Source organism: Homo sapiens, chromosome 3 (assembly GCF_000001405.40).
Source record: "Homo sapiens chromosome 3, GRCh38.p14 Primary Assembly".
In the NCBI taxonomy this organism is placed as follows: domain Eukaryota; kingdom Metazoa; phylum Chordata; class Mammalia; order Primates; family Hominidae; genus Homo; species Homo sapiens.
The window spans coordinates 5,233,647-5,250,255 of record NC_000003.12 but is presented as its reverse complement, the minus strand read 5'-3'; the positions used below and the strand labels follow the sequence as shown (position 1 = coordinate 5,250,255).

Sequence of the window (16,609 nt, the reverse complement as noted above, 5' to 3'; positions counted from 1 at the left end):
CAATGTGACATCGCTTTACCATTCATGTTCACTGAAAGGTAGATTTTAAAAACATGAATGGTAAAGCGATGTCACATTGTTCATTGTCATTTTTAAAGAGTACTGTCCATCTTGTCGCATTTTTAAAATGTTTTATGTGCTTCTATTATGAAATATTCCTGGAAAAATGTGCAAACAAGATCATACTGCGAAGACAAATCGCCCAGGATTTATCATCAGTCTATTCATTTCCAGTGAAAATCACCTGATTTTTTTTTTTTTTTTTTTTTTTGTTGATTCGGAGTCTCGCTGTCGCCCAGGCTGGAGTGCAGTGGCACGACCTCGGCTCACTGCAAGCTCCGCCTCCCGGGTTCCCGCCATTCTCCTGCCTCAGCCTCCCGAGTAGCTGGGACTACAGGCGCCCGCCACCGCGCCCGGCTAATTTTTTGTATTTTTAGTAGAGACGGGGTTTCGCCGTGTTAGCCAGGATGGTCTCGATCTCCTGACCTCGTGATCCGCCCGCCTCGGCCTCCCAAAGTGCTGGGATTACAGGCGTGAGCCTCCGCGCTCGGCCAGAAATAACCTGATTTTTACGGAATGCTCAGCACATATGGAATTTGGTATTCTCATTTTAAAAATGTACTTAATACAGTTATTGGGATATAATTCACATTCCATAGAATCCACCTATTTATTTTTCTGCCTTTTTTTTTTTTTTTTTTTTTCCTGAGACACAGTCTTGCTCTGTTGTCCACACTGGAGTACAGTGGCATGATCTCAGCTCACTACAACCTCTGCCTCCCAAGTTTAAGCGATTCTCGTGCCACAGCCTCCTGAGTAGCTGGAATTACAGGCATGCATCACTACACCTAGCTAATTGTTGTATTTTTAGTAGAAACGGGGTTTCATCATGTTGACCAGACTGGTCTTGAACAAGTGCTGGGATTACAGGAGTGAGCCACTGTTCCTGGCCTTTTTTTTTATTTATTTAATAATTTCAACTTTTATTTTAGATTCAGTGGGTATATGTGCAGGTCTGTCACATGGGAACACTGCATGATGCTGAGGTTTAGGGTACAGATGATTCTGTCACCCAGGCAGTGAGCACAGCACCCAATAGGCAATCCCTCAGCCCCTTCCCTCCCTCCTGCCTCCAGCACTGCCCAGTGGCTATTGCTCCCATGTTTATGTCTATGTGTACTCAATGTTTAACTTCCACTTATAAGTGAGAACATGTGATATTTGGTGTTCTGTTCTTGTGGTAATTTGCTTAACATAATGGCCTCCGGGTACATCCATGTTGCTGCAAAGGACATGATTTCTTTTTATGGCTACAAAGTATTCCATGAATCCACCCATTTAAACTGTATAATTCAATGGTTTGTAGCGTATTCAGAATTGATTCTTTTGTAACCAGTTCTGTTACTTTAAATTGGTCTTCTTCGGAGGAAAGTCTTGGAGAAAAATAAAAAAGAACTTTTAACTTCATGAACACTGAACTCAGGAAATCAATTCTAGTTTTGTTCCACCCCGTGGCTTCTTTCTTTGTAAAATTTTCTCTTTGCTTTTGGAAGAATCCATTCCACCAACTGAAGTTTTCTATGCCTAATGTCAGCACGTAAGTAATTGCATTAGGTTAAAGCTACACTGTCACTCCAGGAAGCATAGTTGGAGCTTTGCTGCTAGAATATAAAAGCTTTATTTCCCTTGTTTATTCCTCACAGACATTTTGGGGCCACAGCTCATTGCAGACTGATCTTTATGACTTCACATTTGCTCAAAGCAAGTGATTTATTAGGAGCAGCACCGACATAAATTCAGAGGAAAATTCTTTATAAAATATCAGTGAATGAAGGTTCACTTTTCACACCTCATGCTGCCTGTGTGTGTTTGTGTATGTACACATGCAATGCCATGCATGCACAACACACGCACACACACACACACACACGTTCAGTCATTCATAGCATGGCTTATAGGTCGGACTCTGTTAAATTTTTTACCTTTAGGAGAGCAGATCATTAAAAGTGAACACTTTTGTCCATTCAACTCCTGTACATCATTCCCTCTCACCCCAGGAGTCTTGAACCTCTTGGAGGGTTGAGGCCCAGGAACCTGCATTTTAAACCAGATCTCCAGGTGTCTCTGATGTCCTGACATTGAAGAACCAAGGTTACTGTGTCGCATACTGAAGACTGGGTATTCAGTGAAGCAGGGATGGCTCCTCTGCTGAGAGTCAGGGAGTCGGACGCACTGGAATGAAATCCCTGCCACTCCAGATGTGTGGCAGCACTCAGATCCACATGTGAGTTGCAAGTCTACTGCGTGCCACATGCGGGGAATACAACACAGACAAAACTCAGCTCTTGACTTTCTCTGACTAGTGGGAATCTGGAAATGTAAACCAATAAATGACAATAAAGTGTTATAAGTACAAAAACAAGAAACTGTATGTTAATAGGCCAATTTGAAGAAAGTGTTTAAAACAATTCAAGTTTCCTATATCTCCTTTTTCCTTCTTCTGACAAACTCTCTTATCTACCCACCCAAACATATGCCTCACACAAGTACACACACCCCACACACCGTACACACACACACACACACACACAATGTCCATCCTACATATACCCCATAAGCACTCAATACCTGGGGCCCACATATCACCCCACATGTTCCCCACATACAGATCACCCAGACAAAGTTGCCAGATAAAGAAATAAAATACAGGACACTAAGTTAAATTAGAATTTCAAATAAACATATTTTGGACAGACACTAAAAATAAATGCATTATTTATGTAAAATTCTAATTTAACTAGGGGGGCTATATTGTATTTGACAAATGTAAAATATCTCACACACATCTTTCTATCACACACACACACGCACGCACACCCATTTCTCTACCTGACTTTCACAATGGCTGGAAATCTGACAAAGAGAGTTCTGAGTTTCTTTTTACCTTTTTATATTGTTTTGTTTAAATTTTATAACACATAGGCATTACATCTAAAATTAGAAATAAAAAATTGTTCCGAATTTTTTTTTTTTTTTTTTTTTTTTTTTTTTTTTTTTTTTTTGAGGCAGAGTCTCGCTCTGCTGCCCAGGCTGGAGTGCAATGGTTCAGTCTTGGCTCACTGCAACCTCTGCCTCCCGAGTTCAAACAATTCTCTTCCCTCAGCCCCCTGAGTAACTGGGATTACAGGAGCACATCCTCATGCCCAGCTAATTTTTGTATTTTTAGTAGAGACAGGGTTTTACCATATTGCCCACCTCAGCCTCCCAAAGTGCTGGGATTACAGGCATGAGCCACTGCGCCTGGCCATTGGGAAATATTTAAATAAATAAATTAAACCACTAGCACTCCTGGGAGAGTGCCCCCTCCTTGCCAGTTTGTGAACTGCCATGGAGAGTACCATGTATCTGGTGAAATGTGGTAGATGGAAGGAAAACAGGCAAGGACCAAGGCCCTGTGGAAAGAACAGCTGGAAATGGACACAGGAGAAGGCCACCAGGAGGTCCCTGGGCGTGGGGACTGCTAAATGCCTTGACTGTTTATTTTTAATGGTGAAACCAATTACAACAATAATAGTTGTCAGGACTGCCATGTTTGGTTATACTGTGTGTGCACTTCATAAGGGTCTCATGAAAGGGTGGCTGATGTACTCTGCCTCCCCCTTCCCCAATGTCCACAGAGCAACTTTTTCTAATTTCTGTACACTCCCCATAGAGGCTAACAACTGCCTCAATTAGCATTTAGGAATAGTTGTACGTGCTAGCTAGCATGCTAAGTGACTTATGATCCAACACTCCCTGTGGGGGTCTCCCTGTTATAGAAGCGACACCACTTCAGCAAATCAGGAGCACTATCAGGTAGCTTGTCTACCACACACAATGCAAGCTGTCCCAACTTGTTCAACCTGGACTCCCTCACGAGAGAGAGAGGTGGAGGATTGTATTTTCCATACATGACTGCAATCTACTCTTCTACCATGTGACACCTCATTAATAGGAAGAGTCTAACTTCTCAACCTTGAATCCAGGAAGGGTTGCAACTGCTTCAGCCAGTGGGGTAGAAGAGAGTTGTTGCAGATGGCTTAGGAGGCTGGGTCATAACAGGTGGAACAGCTTCTGCCTTGTTTCCTGGACTTCAAAGTTATTGTGCTGAGCCACCACACAGGAAGTCCAGCTACCCTGAAATTGCCATGCTGTGAGGAAGTCAAGCCACATGGAGAGGCCAGGTGAAAACTCTCTGAGTCACCCAGGTCCAGGCACACAATATGTGCAGGAATTAACCCTCAGGGGATTCCAGCCCCCTGAGGTTGTGTTACCACCAACTTTTGAGTCTTCCCAAATGAGGATCCCCAACCACCCAGAGCACAGACAAGCTGTCCCCAAATGGGTATACCCTATCTGATCTCCTGACCCACAGAATCCATGAGCACAAGTCACTAAGTGCTGGAGTAACTTAGTGCCCCGCCATTATACCTGGAACAAGAGGACAGAAAACCACCTGACCTAGGAACACGGTGAAGGCCAATAAATTCTATCAAATTCTATCAAAGCCCAGAGAACTCAGTGATATAAGCAAGGCCCACTGTCTTATCCTAAAATCTACCAGATTTGGACTCTCTCTCTGTCTGGCCTACACAGTACGTTGAGCCCATTTGATCTTATCAAACAGAAATTACAGAACAGAAAGAATCAGCAACCAGCAAAGATGGCCTTACTCTTATTATTGCCTATCAGAGATGATGCTAAGCTATACCAGACACTACTCCTACCCTCAGGGAAAGGTTGAGATTCTTCAATAGTCTGAACATTCCTGGGCCTCAGGGCTTGCATAGTGCACTTAGCAATGGGGACAGGAGAGAACTTCTTGCAGTACATCCCCCAAAGAGATGGGTAATCTGATAACTCTTAATGCTTTTCCCTGGGCAGAAATGCTGAGGCCATGGTGCTATCCCAGCACAATTTTCTTTTTTTTTTTTTTAATTTATTATACTTTAAGTTCTGGAATACATGTGCAGAATGTGCAGGTTTGTTACATAGGTATACACGTGCCATGGTGGTTTGCTGCACCCATCAACCTGTCATCTACATTAGGTGTTTCTCCTAATGCTATCCTTCCCCTGTCCCCTAACATCCCAACAGGCCCTGGTGTGTGATATTCCCCTCCCTGTGTCCATGTGTTCTCATTGTTCAACTCTCACTTATGAGTGAGAACATACAGTGTTTGGTTTTCTGTTCCTGTGTTAGTTTGCTGAGAATGATGGTTTCCAGCTTCATCCATGTCCCTGCAAAGGACATGAACTCATCCTTTTGTATGGCTGCATAGTATTCCATGGTGTATATGTGCCACATTTTCTTAATCCAGTCTATCATTGATGGATATTTGGGTTGGTTCCAAGTCTTTGCTATTGTGAATAGTGCCACAATAAACATATATGTGCATGTGTCTTTATAGTAGAACTATTTATAATCCTTTGGGTATATACCCAGTAATGGGATTGCTGGGTCAAATGGCATTTCTGGTTCTAGATCCTTGAGGAACTGCCACACTGTCTTCCACATGGTTAAACTAGTTTACACTCCCACCAACAGTGTAAAAGCATTCCTATTTCCCCACATCTTCTCCAGCATCTGTTGTTTCCTGACGTTCTAATGATTGCCATTCTAACTGTCATGAGATGGTATCTCATTGCTATTTTGATTTGCATTTCTCTAATGACCAGTGATGATGAGCTTTTTTTCATGTTTGTTGGCCACATAAATGCCTTCTTTTGAGAAGCGTCTGTTCATATCTTTTGCCCACTTTTTAATGGGGTTGTTTTTTTTTTTCTTGTGAATTTGTTTAAGTTCCTTGTAGATTCTGGATATTAGCCCTTTGTCAGATGGATAGATTGCAAAAATTTTCTCCCATTCTGCAGGTTGTCTGTTCACTCTAATGATAGTTTCTTTTGCTGTGCAGAAGTTCTTTAGTTTAATTAGATCCGATTTCTCAATTTTGGCTTTTGTTGCCATTGCTTTTGGTGTTTTAGTCATAAAGTCTTTGCCCATGCCTCTGTCCTGAATGGTATTGCCTAGGTTTTCTTCTAGGGTTTTTATGGTTTTAGGTGTTATGTTTAAGTCTTTCATCCATTTTGAGTTAATTTTTGTATAAGGTGTAAGGAAGTGGTCCAGTGTCAGTTTTCTACACATGGCTAACCAGTTTTCCCAACACCATTGATTAAATTGGGAATCCTTTCCCCACTGCTTATTTTTGTCAGGTTTGTCAAAGATCAGATGGTTGTAGATGTGTGGTGTTATTTCTGAGGCCTCTGTTCTGTTCCATTGGTCCATATATTTGTTTTGGTACCAGTACCATGCTGTTTTGGTTACTGTAGCTTTATAGTGTAGTTTGAAGGCAGGTAACGTGATGCCTTCAGCTTTGTTCTTTTTGCTTAGGATTGTCTTGGCTATATGTAGGCTAACACAACTTTCTTAAGCCTTATTTGGAATAGAAAAGATAAGCTCTCCCTACTATGTAGGAGAACATGTATCAGAAGCAAGTGTGATTTTTAAATCAAGAAGTGTTCAGTAGAGGGTTTGCAAACATTATGTATACTCTTCCTTTATACAGATAGATATGCAGCCCATCTCTGGGAAAGGACACAGAAACCTTTGGGAGACTCCATGAAAGGACTGTTAGAAAATGACCATAGTCGCTGTCGCTCTCGCTCTCGTTCTCGCTCTCGCTTTCCCTCTCCCTCTCCCCACGGTCTCCCTCTCCCTCTTCCCACGGTCTCCCTCTCCCTCTCTCTCCACAGTCTCCCTCTGATGCCGAGCCAAAGCTGGACTGTACTGCTGCCATCTCGGCTCACTGCAACCTCCCCGCCTGATTCTCCTGCCTCAGCCTGCCGAGTGCCTGCGATTGCAGGCACGCGCCGCCACGCCTGACTGGTTTTCGTATTTTTTTGGTGGAGACGGGGTTTCGCCGTGTTGGCCGGGCTGGTCTCCAGCTCCTAACCGCGAGTGATCCGCCAGCCTCGGCCTCCCGAGGTGCCGGGATTGCAGACGGAGTCTCCTTCACTCAGTGCTCAATGGTGCCCAGGCTGGAGTGCAGTGGCGTGATCTCGGCTCGCTGCAACCTCCACCTCCCAGCCGCCTGCCTTGGCCTCCCAAAGTGCCGAGATTGCAGCCTCTGCCCGGCCGCCACCCCGTCTAGGAAGTGCCACCTAGACGTCTAGCACCACCTCTGCCTGGCCGCCCATCGTCTGAGATGTGGGGAGCATCTCTGCCCTGCCGCGACCCCGTCTGGGAACTGAGGAGTGACTGTGCCCGACCACCGCCCCATCTGGGATGTGAGGAGCGTCTCTGCCCGACCGCCGCCCTGTCTGGGAGGTGTACCCAGCAGCTCATTGAGAACGGGCCATGATGACGATGGTGGTTTTGTCGAGTGGAAGGGGGGGAAGTGTGGGGAAAGGAAAGAGAATCAGATTGTTGCTGTGTCTGTGTAGAAAGAAGTAGACATAGGAGACTCCATTTTGTTCTGTACTAAGAAAAATTCTTCTGCCTTGGGATGCTGTTAATCTATAACCTTACCCCCAACCCCGTGCTCTCTGAAACATGTGTTGTGTCCACTCAGGGTTAAATGGATTAAGGGCGGTGCAAGATGTTCTTTGTTAAACAGATGCTTGAAGGCAGCATACTCGTTAAGAGTCATCACCACTCCCTAATCTCAAGTACCCAGGGACACAAACGCTGCGGAAGGCGGCAGGGCCCTCTGCCTAGGAAAACCAGAGACCCTTGTTCACATGTTTATCTGCTGACCTTCCCTCCACTATTGTCCTATGGCCCTGCCAAATCCCCCTCTCCAAGAAACACCCAAGAATGATCAATAAATACTAAAAAAAAAAAAAAAAAAAAAAAAAAAAATTGGTAAAAGTGAATTAAAAAAAAGAAGATGATTGCATTCACATCTACTTTCATTACTATTGTTAATCAAAAAAGAGCTTGCTCATTGAATTTGGTCCTGAAGTTTTCATGTCGTATTCTCTTATGACTTGTTTTGGTATTAGATTCCTGTTATCATTTTAAAGCAACTTTACAGTCTCCCGAAACAGACTGGTAAGAACTGGGACTAATCACAGTATATTTTGTTGTTTCTATCTGGGTTACTATTATGAACACTTTATCAAGTAGTTGTCTTTTAAAAATCATATAGTTAAAGGGTGAAAAGTTGCTTGTAGTTGTCTAGCCTCTCTGATCTAAGCCCTTTTTGTTAGGCAAAGGCATTGAATGTGGCACAGGAATATATAAAAATAAAATTAGCAATTGTTAAAAAAAAAAAAAAGAAAGAAAATGACCATAGTCCATTAATTCCATCAACTGCCCATGAAATGAAAAAGTAATTACATAGTCAGCCAGGTATGTTGGCTCATACCTGTAGTCCTAATTACTTGGAGGCTGAGAGGGGAGGATTGCTTGAGTCCAGTAGTTCAAATTCAGCATGGGCAACACAGCAAGACCCCATCTCTAAAAGTAATTTTTTTAATTGTAAATAATTCCATAATGTTGTCAGGGGTCTCAAGGTCTAGGTAAGGGGTTTTTCTGAGGGGAATCCCATGAAATTTGCAGAGTTTATATAAGCCCCTGATAGGATCCAAGAGGATGCCCAAAATCACCTCTATACCTTCATGGGACTCATAATTCAAGATGCCCATTGTAGTCAAAACTAGAATAGCCAGAATCAGTGAAAACATTCTAGATCAATGGAAGAGGCTGTGCACTACTATTCAGAAACAATGATAATGGCACCACTCACTTTTCATAGTGACATCAGTAAGGACAACAAAGACTTTTTACCTAGAGCCCTTGCTGGCAACAAAACATGAACTGGAAGGATCTGCTACAATGGTCCTGAGACTTCACATCAGCCAGTCCACTTATATTATCTGCCTGGAAGGGATGGTATTAACGCAAGGTCTCTTGTAAAAAGGAATGACATCCAAGGTACTTCCAAATTTCCAACCAATAATAAATGATACAATCTGCTGGCTCAAGCACTTGCTTCAGACAGCTTTGAATCCCAGCGTAACACTATCCTACAAGACCCTAAGAAAGTCATGTTGACCTCTTTGAAACTCATTTTTAATAATCTGTAAAACGAGGAGTTTGGACAAGCATAAAATGTATTTCTTAGAATACTAGAATCCCCTGAGAGTTAATTCCAGCACATACCTAATTTCTTATAAGACACTTCATAGGTCAGACCAGAAAAAGGGAAAAATCCTGTGATCAAATAAATTTGCAACATGCTACATATTGAATCACCCTTTAGAAGAAACACAAGATGTATTGACATATAAAGGTTCTGATAAGTCCTGCATTAAAGAAGCTTGTTTCATTTTGTTTAACTCAGCATTTCCAAAACAAGTTGATGAGAAAATTCATTAGTACTCCAGGAATGGTTCCATAAAACCCATCTTTGGAAATGCTGGGTTTTGTTCATTTATTCATTCACTAACACCTATTCTCTTAGTCTTACCAAATTCCAGAATTCTTTCATTCAACCTTAGTTAGTTTGCTTGTTTGAATGGAACATCTGCCAAGGGATTTAGAAGGGAACAAATGGAGTCAGAACCAGATCAGAGACACAACGTGCTTTCTGCTAAATTTCACTGTGGGACAGCCCCAGGTCTTATCAATAGGACTGTGGTTGCAAAAATATTAGCCAATGAGTTCTCCAGGAAAAAAAAAAAAAAGCCTGGGCCAGGCACGGTGGTTCACACTTGTAATCCCAGCACTTTGGGAGACTGAGGTGGGCAAATTACCTGAGGTCAGGAGTTTGAGACCAGCCTAGCCAACATGGTGAAACCCCGTCTCTACTGAAAATACAAAAATTAGCCGGGCATGGTCACGCCCACTTGTAATCCCAGCTACTCGGGAGGCTGAGGCAGGAGAATCACCTGAACCCGGGAAGCAGAGGTTGCAGTGAGCCAAGATCACACCATTGCACTCCAGCCTGGGCGACAGAGCAAGACTCTGTCTCAAAAAAAGAAAAAGAAAGGCTAACAGAAGCACTGAGAAATAGTTTTATCATCATGCTGATCATTCCTATCTTTCCTGTTATGATGTACTACCATGATTCAGTCACTGCCTGGTTCACCAAGGTAAACCATTCTTCCTTAATAGCCCCCCAAAATAGCAATAATGTTCTTCTCTTTCCCAGAAGTAGACAACTCTGAATAATTTTCTATTGCTTTCCTGTGAACTGAATATTTACCTTGCTGCACTCCAGATAAAATGACTAATCCAAAGACAGCAACTGGCTGTCAGACCTATTCTCTCAGTTTCTTGGACTTCAGGGGAGAGAAGGATGCGAGGCTACATCCAGAGTCATCAGCCAAGAGCACCGTGATTGATTAATGATGTCTGCCAAGGATCAGGAGGCAAAGACAAAAGCCTCTGATTTGTGGCCCTGGCTCTGAACTAAGATAAGGTGAAAGCCACCATCTGGAAACAAAAACAACAGTACGATTACAAAAATCACCACAAAACTTAGTCATATATTAGCAGGGGAAATTTAAACAGATGCTCTTTGTGTGTGTGCGTGTGTGTGTGTATGGTGTGTGTGTGTGTATGGTGTGTGTGTGTGTGTGTATGGTGTGTGTGTGTGTGTATGGTGTGTGTGTGTGTATGGTGTGTGTGTGTGTGTATGGTGTGTGTGTATGGTGTGTGTATGGTGTGTGTGTGTGTATGGTGTGTGTGTGTGTGGTGTGTGTGTGTATGTATGGTGTGTGTATGGTGTGTGTGTGTATGGTGTGTGTGTATGTATGGTGTGTGTGTATGGTGTGTGTGTGTGTGTGTGTATGGTGTGTGTGTGTGTGTATGGTGTGTGTGTGTGTGTATGGTGTGTGTGTGTATGGTGTGTGTGTGTGTATGGTGTGTGTGTATGGTGTGTGTGTGTGTATGGTGTGTGTGTGTGGTGTGTGTGTGTATGTATGGTGTGTGTGTATGGTGTGTGTGTGTATGGTGTGTGTGTGTATGTATGGTGTGTGTGTATGGTGTGTGTGTGTATGGTGTGTGTGTGTGTGTATGGTGTGTGTGTGTGTTTACTATTGCTCTCTTTACACCACTAGCACTCAAGAAAAAAATGTGTGAAAAACGAGTTCGTTTTATTACACTCCCAGATTCTGCTACTGATTCTAGTGGGACTGGAGTTAATAAACCTCTGAGATGGAAGATTGAATTGTAGTTGCTTCAATCCCCATTTTATTTCGTTACAGAAAATATGTACTCGCCAAAAGTAACTTTATTATTCTTCTGACATCTTTTATCTAATTCAGAAATGGGCAATTTCAGCCATGAAATGAGCATGCCACACGCCAACATTTTCAGAAGTTGGGCAAAGCCCTGAGAGCTGGTGTGTGTGGAAGAGCCATACTTGGCCCCACTGGATGGAAATATACTCCCAGTGGCTGTGAGATCAAGTTCACAGGAGTGTGTTAGTGACAGCTGCTTCCAGTGTTCAGTCACTACCTCGTGGTGTAGAGGGCAGGATTAATTGAGCTGCTCTGGTCCCTGCTTGATTTTATAGTGTTTGCGGAGCACCTTGAGATCAAGCAGTGTAGAGTTACTGACTTCTGCCCCTCAGTGCTCAGGATCTCCAAACTGAGTTATAGCATCAGGGAATCTGGCCATACGTAAGACAAGGAATTTCAGGAGACCTAGGTTCTAGACCAGCGCTGTCCAAGAGCTGTTTCTGCCACAGTGGAAATTATTCCCTAAACTGCAGTGTCCAGTATGGTAACCAAATGTGTCTACTAAACACTCCTAATGTGGCTGATGCCACTCAGAAGAGGGAATTTCTAATTTTATGTAGTCTTAATTAACATAAATTTAGATAGCCACTATGTGACTTTGGTCAATTTACTTAATTTCTCCAGCGTTCAGTTTTACTTGCTACAGACCTCCCAAATCCATCCACTTCTTTCCATGCTTCTGCTGGCACCCTCATTCTCCAATTCCAGCAACACAGGCTTTCTGTACCCAAGATAGCCAGAACGATCTCCTAATTAATTCTTTTTCCTGACTGTGAATGGTGAGCACTTCATAAAATTAAAATTGGATTTTAAAAGTCTGTCATTGGCTTCCCAGTGCTCTCCAGAGAAAGGCCACAATCGTTTACATGGCCCATTGATGAGGCTCCGTGTGAGTGGTCTGGTCCCTCCTCTCTCCCCAGCCTGAACTCTCACTGCGATGCCCCCACTGTCTGGGCTCCAACCTCTCTGGCGTTTCCCTGTTCCATGAAGCCCATGTTTCTTTCTTCCCCAGGATCTTTGTACGTTCTTCCTTTCCCGTTCTGTCCCCTCCCTTATCGTATTCTCTCCCTTTGCACATATTAACTCTTTTACAACCTTTAGAACTCAACTTGGCCGCAGCAGGTCACGGTGGCTCACGCCTGTAATCCCAGTACTTTGGGAGGCTGAGGCGGGCAGATCACAAGGTCAGGAGATCAAGACCGTCCTGGCTAACACGGTGAAACCCTGTCTCTACTAAAAAATACAAAAAATTAGCCGGGCGTGGTGGCGGGCGCCTGTAGTCCCAGCTACTCAGGAGGCTGAGGCAGGAGAATGGCGTGAACCCGGGAAGCGGAGCTTGCAGTGAGCCGAGATCGCACCACTGCACCCCAGCCTGGGAGACAGTGCGAGACTCCATCTCAAAAAAAAAAAAAAAAAAAGAACTCAACTTCGCCGGGCGCGGTGGCTCATGCCTGTAATCTCAGCACTTTGGGAGGCCGAGGCAGGTAGATCACCTGAGTTCAGGAGTTCAAGACCAGCCTGGCCAACATGGTGAAACCCCATCTGTACTAAAAATACAAAAATCAGCCAGGTGTGGTGGCACACGCCTGTAATCCCAGCTACTTGGGAGGCTGAGGCAGGAGAATTGCATGAACCCGGAGGCAGATGTTGCAGTAAGCTGAGATCATGCCACTGCACTCCAGCCTGGGTGATGGAGTGAGACTCCATCTCTAAATACATACATACATACATACATACATACATACATACATACATACATACATAGAACTCAGCTCAAGCATTCTTCCTCTCCAAGGAAACTTCCAGTTTTGGTCTCCACTGTCTGTCATACAATTTCTTAGAATTGAAGTCCACTCCTTCACAGATCATCATCTGCCAACTTTAAGTTCATTGCTCCAGTGATAAGAAAAAGCACAACCTTGTCAGAATCTTAGTAGCATCTCAGAGTGGAAGGGCAAAGTTGGAATATTTAGGAGATTCAGGGGACTGGTTTAAGGCACTTCCATCAACACAAGGTCTGATCGGGTTTGGGCAAAGTTCATAACATAATTGTTTCAAATTTGTGGACACAGCAAGGCAAGGCTCTTGAAGCTGTCTTGAAAAGTCATTTGATAAGCCTAGTTAAGGGAGCTGTTGCCTTGAGAAAGGGTTATTTACCCTAATGAGAGCTAGTTGAGAAGTCTCTAATATGGATACGTGGATTTTCTATATACCTATTTGCAACTTCAGCTTCCAGGACAAGAGTTTCTTGGAATGACAAGTCATGTTAATATGGACAGTCAACAGGAAAGTTTTGTTAAAGAAGAGATGGGTGTTTGTAGATGGCACTAGTTCTGAGTACCTATGAGAATTTGTAATTTTACAGTTTGGTGATTATTGTATTTGCAGTACATCTCTCTCTCTCTCTCTCTCTCTCTATCTCTCTCTCTCTCTCTGCTACAAAGTCCATGAGAGCAGGGACTCTCTGCTTTTTGAGTCACCATTGTATCCCAACACTTAATCCTAGCATGATGTCTGGCAATAAATATTTAACAACTAAGTAAATAAACAAACATAAGGAAGGAGCGGACCAGTGAGATTTTCCATAGGATAAGAAAGTTAATTAGAAAAAAAATGCTGGGAGGAGGAAGAGGTGATTATTTAAGGGGTAGAGGGAAGCGGCACAAAACAGAGACCATGCTGCTTGACTATCAAGTGTGTTTCTGGCTACAGAGACTCTCAAAACCCAGAGTTGCTTGGCCTTCTGTCTTCAGCATCCACAGCTGCCTATCTCTGTCCCTCGCTCTCTCTTCCTGGGTATCTACGCCCCCACAGTATCCCCCTCCCACCTCGCCCCTTCCTGTATCAAAACCTTAGATTGATTACATCCCATCCATCCCCATAAACCAATGTCACGATAGCCTTTCTCCCAGAGGCTTCTTCCTCTGCGGCTTCATTTCCTTTTGGAGAAGCAAAGGATTTTCCCCTAATAAAGGGACCTCAGGCTGCCTCTTTCCCCAGCCTCAAGTAAGCAGAGGATCATTCCATAGACCTGCACTAAACCTCTTCTGTGTGTACAAGTACTCCTTGAGCAAGCCTGAGGCAGAGAACTGGGCTGATGACACTTCTGGCCATCTGCAGAGACCTCTGCTGACAGGCATCCAAGTGGTGAAAGGCCTTGCAAGCAGTCTTGCAGTCCTTCCCGTGCTAGAGGGTTCGCTTGTTGGTCTCATCACCTGTGCTAGCAGATTATAGTTAGAATCCCCACGAGTTTATACAGAGACATCTATGAGTGCGTCGATGCTAATGTACATATTCGCATCCTCCAGGTCACAGGAATCCTGAATTAGGCCTATTCCCTTTGTAAAAGACAGAAACTCAACTCAAACGAGCTTAAGCAAAAGACGAGAGTCTTGGTGCCCATTTCTAGGAAGTCCATGGATGACTAGATCTGGGGCTGAAACTCGTCCAGAGGAGACTGTTTCTCCATTTCCCTGGCTTTGTTAACTTCGTTCTCAGCCAGTCTCTGGGCCTATTTGATCCTGTCTATTCTCAAGCTCCAAAGGGAAATTTTGTTTATCATTCTGTATCTACCTTAATCCCTCCAAATACACTCTGAATGTCCCTACCCAAGTTGTATGCTGACCTGTGCACCACTCACCGGTTTTCTGACCCACCTGAGATCTATTTCCACCGCTGTGCAGCAGTGTTTGGGCACCCTTGGTTGGCAGCCCCACCCAGACTACAGAGGGTGAGGAGGAGGCAGTGCTCCAAGAGAATGAAGAAGAAAAGACCAAAGAGTGGCAGATGTCCACTGCTCTGGTGCTTCCACAGTGTGGCCTAAAGACCAGCAGCAATGGCATCCTTAGGGTGCTCATTAGAAATGAAGACTCCCAGGCTCCACCCCAGATCTGCTGATTCTGAATCCCTGGGAATGGAGTCCAGAATCTGCATTTGAACAAGGCTCCCAGGTGATTCAGATGCATGCCGAGGTATGAGTCCACATTTCTACTCACTGTTCAGAAGTCACAGGCTGAAAAGGAGTAGTTGTCCAATGGGCAGTCGCTCCTGGAAGCACACATAAGAAGTCTTGAAACAAGGCCCATCCAGCATTTCCACAGGCTTTTCCATCATCTAGTAATCACTAAATGGGCACAACTACATGTCAGGCCCTGAGTTAGAGTCTGCAGATCCAGAGACAGATATGAACCCATCTTAGTGATCTAGAACCAAAGGTTTTCAGTCTAGAACGAGCTGTCTTTTGTTTTTTCTTTTTGAGATGGAGTCTCCCTCTGTCACCCAGGCTGGAGTGCAGTGGTATAATCTCAGCTCACTGCAACATCTGCCTCCTAGGCTCAAGTGAGTCTCCTGCCTCAGCCTCTTGAGTAGCTGGGATTACAGGCATGTGCCACCATGCCCGGCTAATTTTTATATTTTTAGTAGAGACACAGTTTCACCATATTAGCCAGGCTGATCTCAAATGCCTGACCTCAAGCCATCCACCTGCCTCAGCCACCCAAAGTGCTGGAATCACAGGCATGAGCCACCATGCCTGGCCTAGCATGAGCTTCCTTTATTAATTAATTTTTTTTTTTTTTTTTGAGACGGAGTCTCCCTCTGTCACCCAGGCTGGAGTGCAGTGGCATGATCACTGCTCACTGCAGCCTCCGCCTCCTGGGTTCACGCCATTCTCCTGCCTCAGCCTCCCAAGTAGCTGGGACTATAGGTGCTCACCACAACACCTGGCTAATTTTTTTTTTTTTTGAGACGGAGTCTCGCTCTGTCGCCCAGGCCGGACTGCGGACTGCAGTGGCGCAATCTCGGCTCACTGCAAGCTCCACCTCTCGGGTTCACGCCATTCTCCTGCCTCAGCCTCCCGAGTAGCTGGGACTACAGGCGCCTGCCACCGCGCCCGGCTAATTTTTTGTATTTTTAGTAGAGACGGGGTTTCACCTTGTTAGCCAGGATGGTCTCAATCTCCTGACCTCGTGATCTGCCCGCCTCGGCCTCCTAAAGTGCTGGGATTACAGGCGTGAGCCACCGTACCCGGCCTGGATCAGTTTATATACAAATCTTGGTAGCATTATTCATCACAGAAAATAAAGACGGCAATCAGGATAGCCAATCATAGGAGAATAGCTAAATAAATTATGATTCATTCATGAAAAATCATATTTATGACTAGTTTTTAATGGCCTGGGAAAATGATTTCCTTATAATAGTAAGTTTTATAGAAGCACAATACAGGCTTTGTCTGTTTCCACCTCCCAGAACTCTTCGTGCTAGTTATCCACTGCAGGGCAGCAAATTACCCACGAACTTCGCAGCTTAGAACAGCACCA

At 44.2% G+C, this 16,609-nt stretch overlaps 1 non-coding gene across 1 annotated transcript; it reads left to right on the top strand.

Annotated features, from left to right (window-relative positions):
- MIR4790 (microRNA 4790) lies at window positions 1-79 on the top strand. The gene has a single exon (NR_039953.1). It is a non-coding gene; the product is annotated as a microRNA 4790 (primary transcript).
- The last annotated feature ends 16,530 nt before the right edge of the window (window positions 80-16,609 follow it).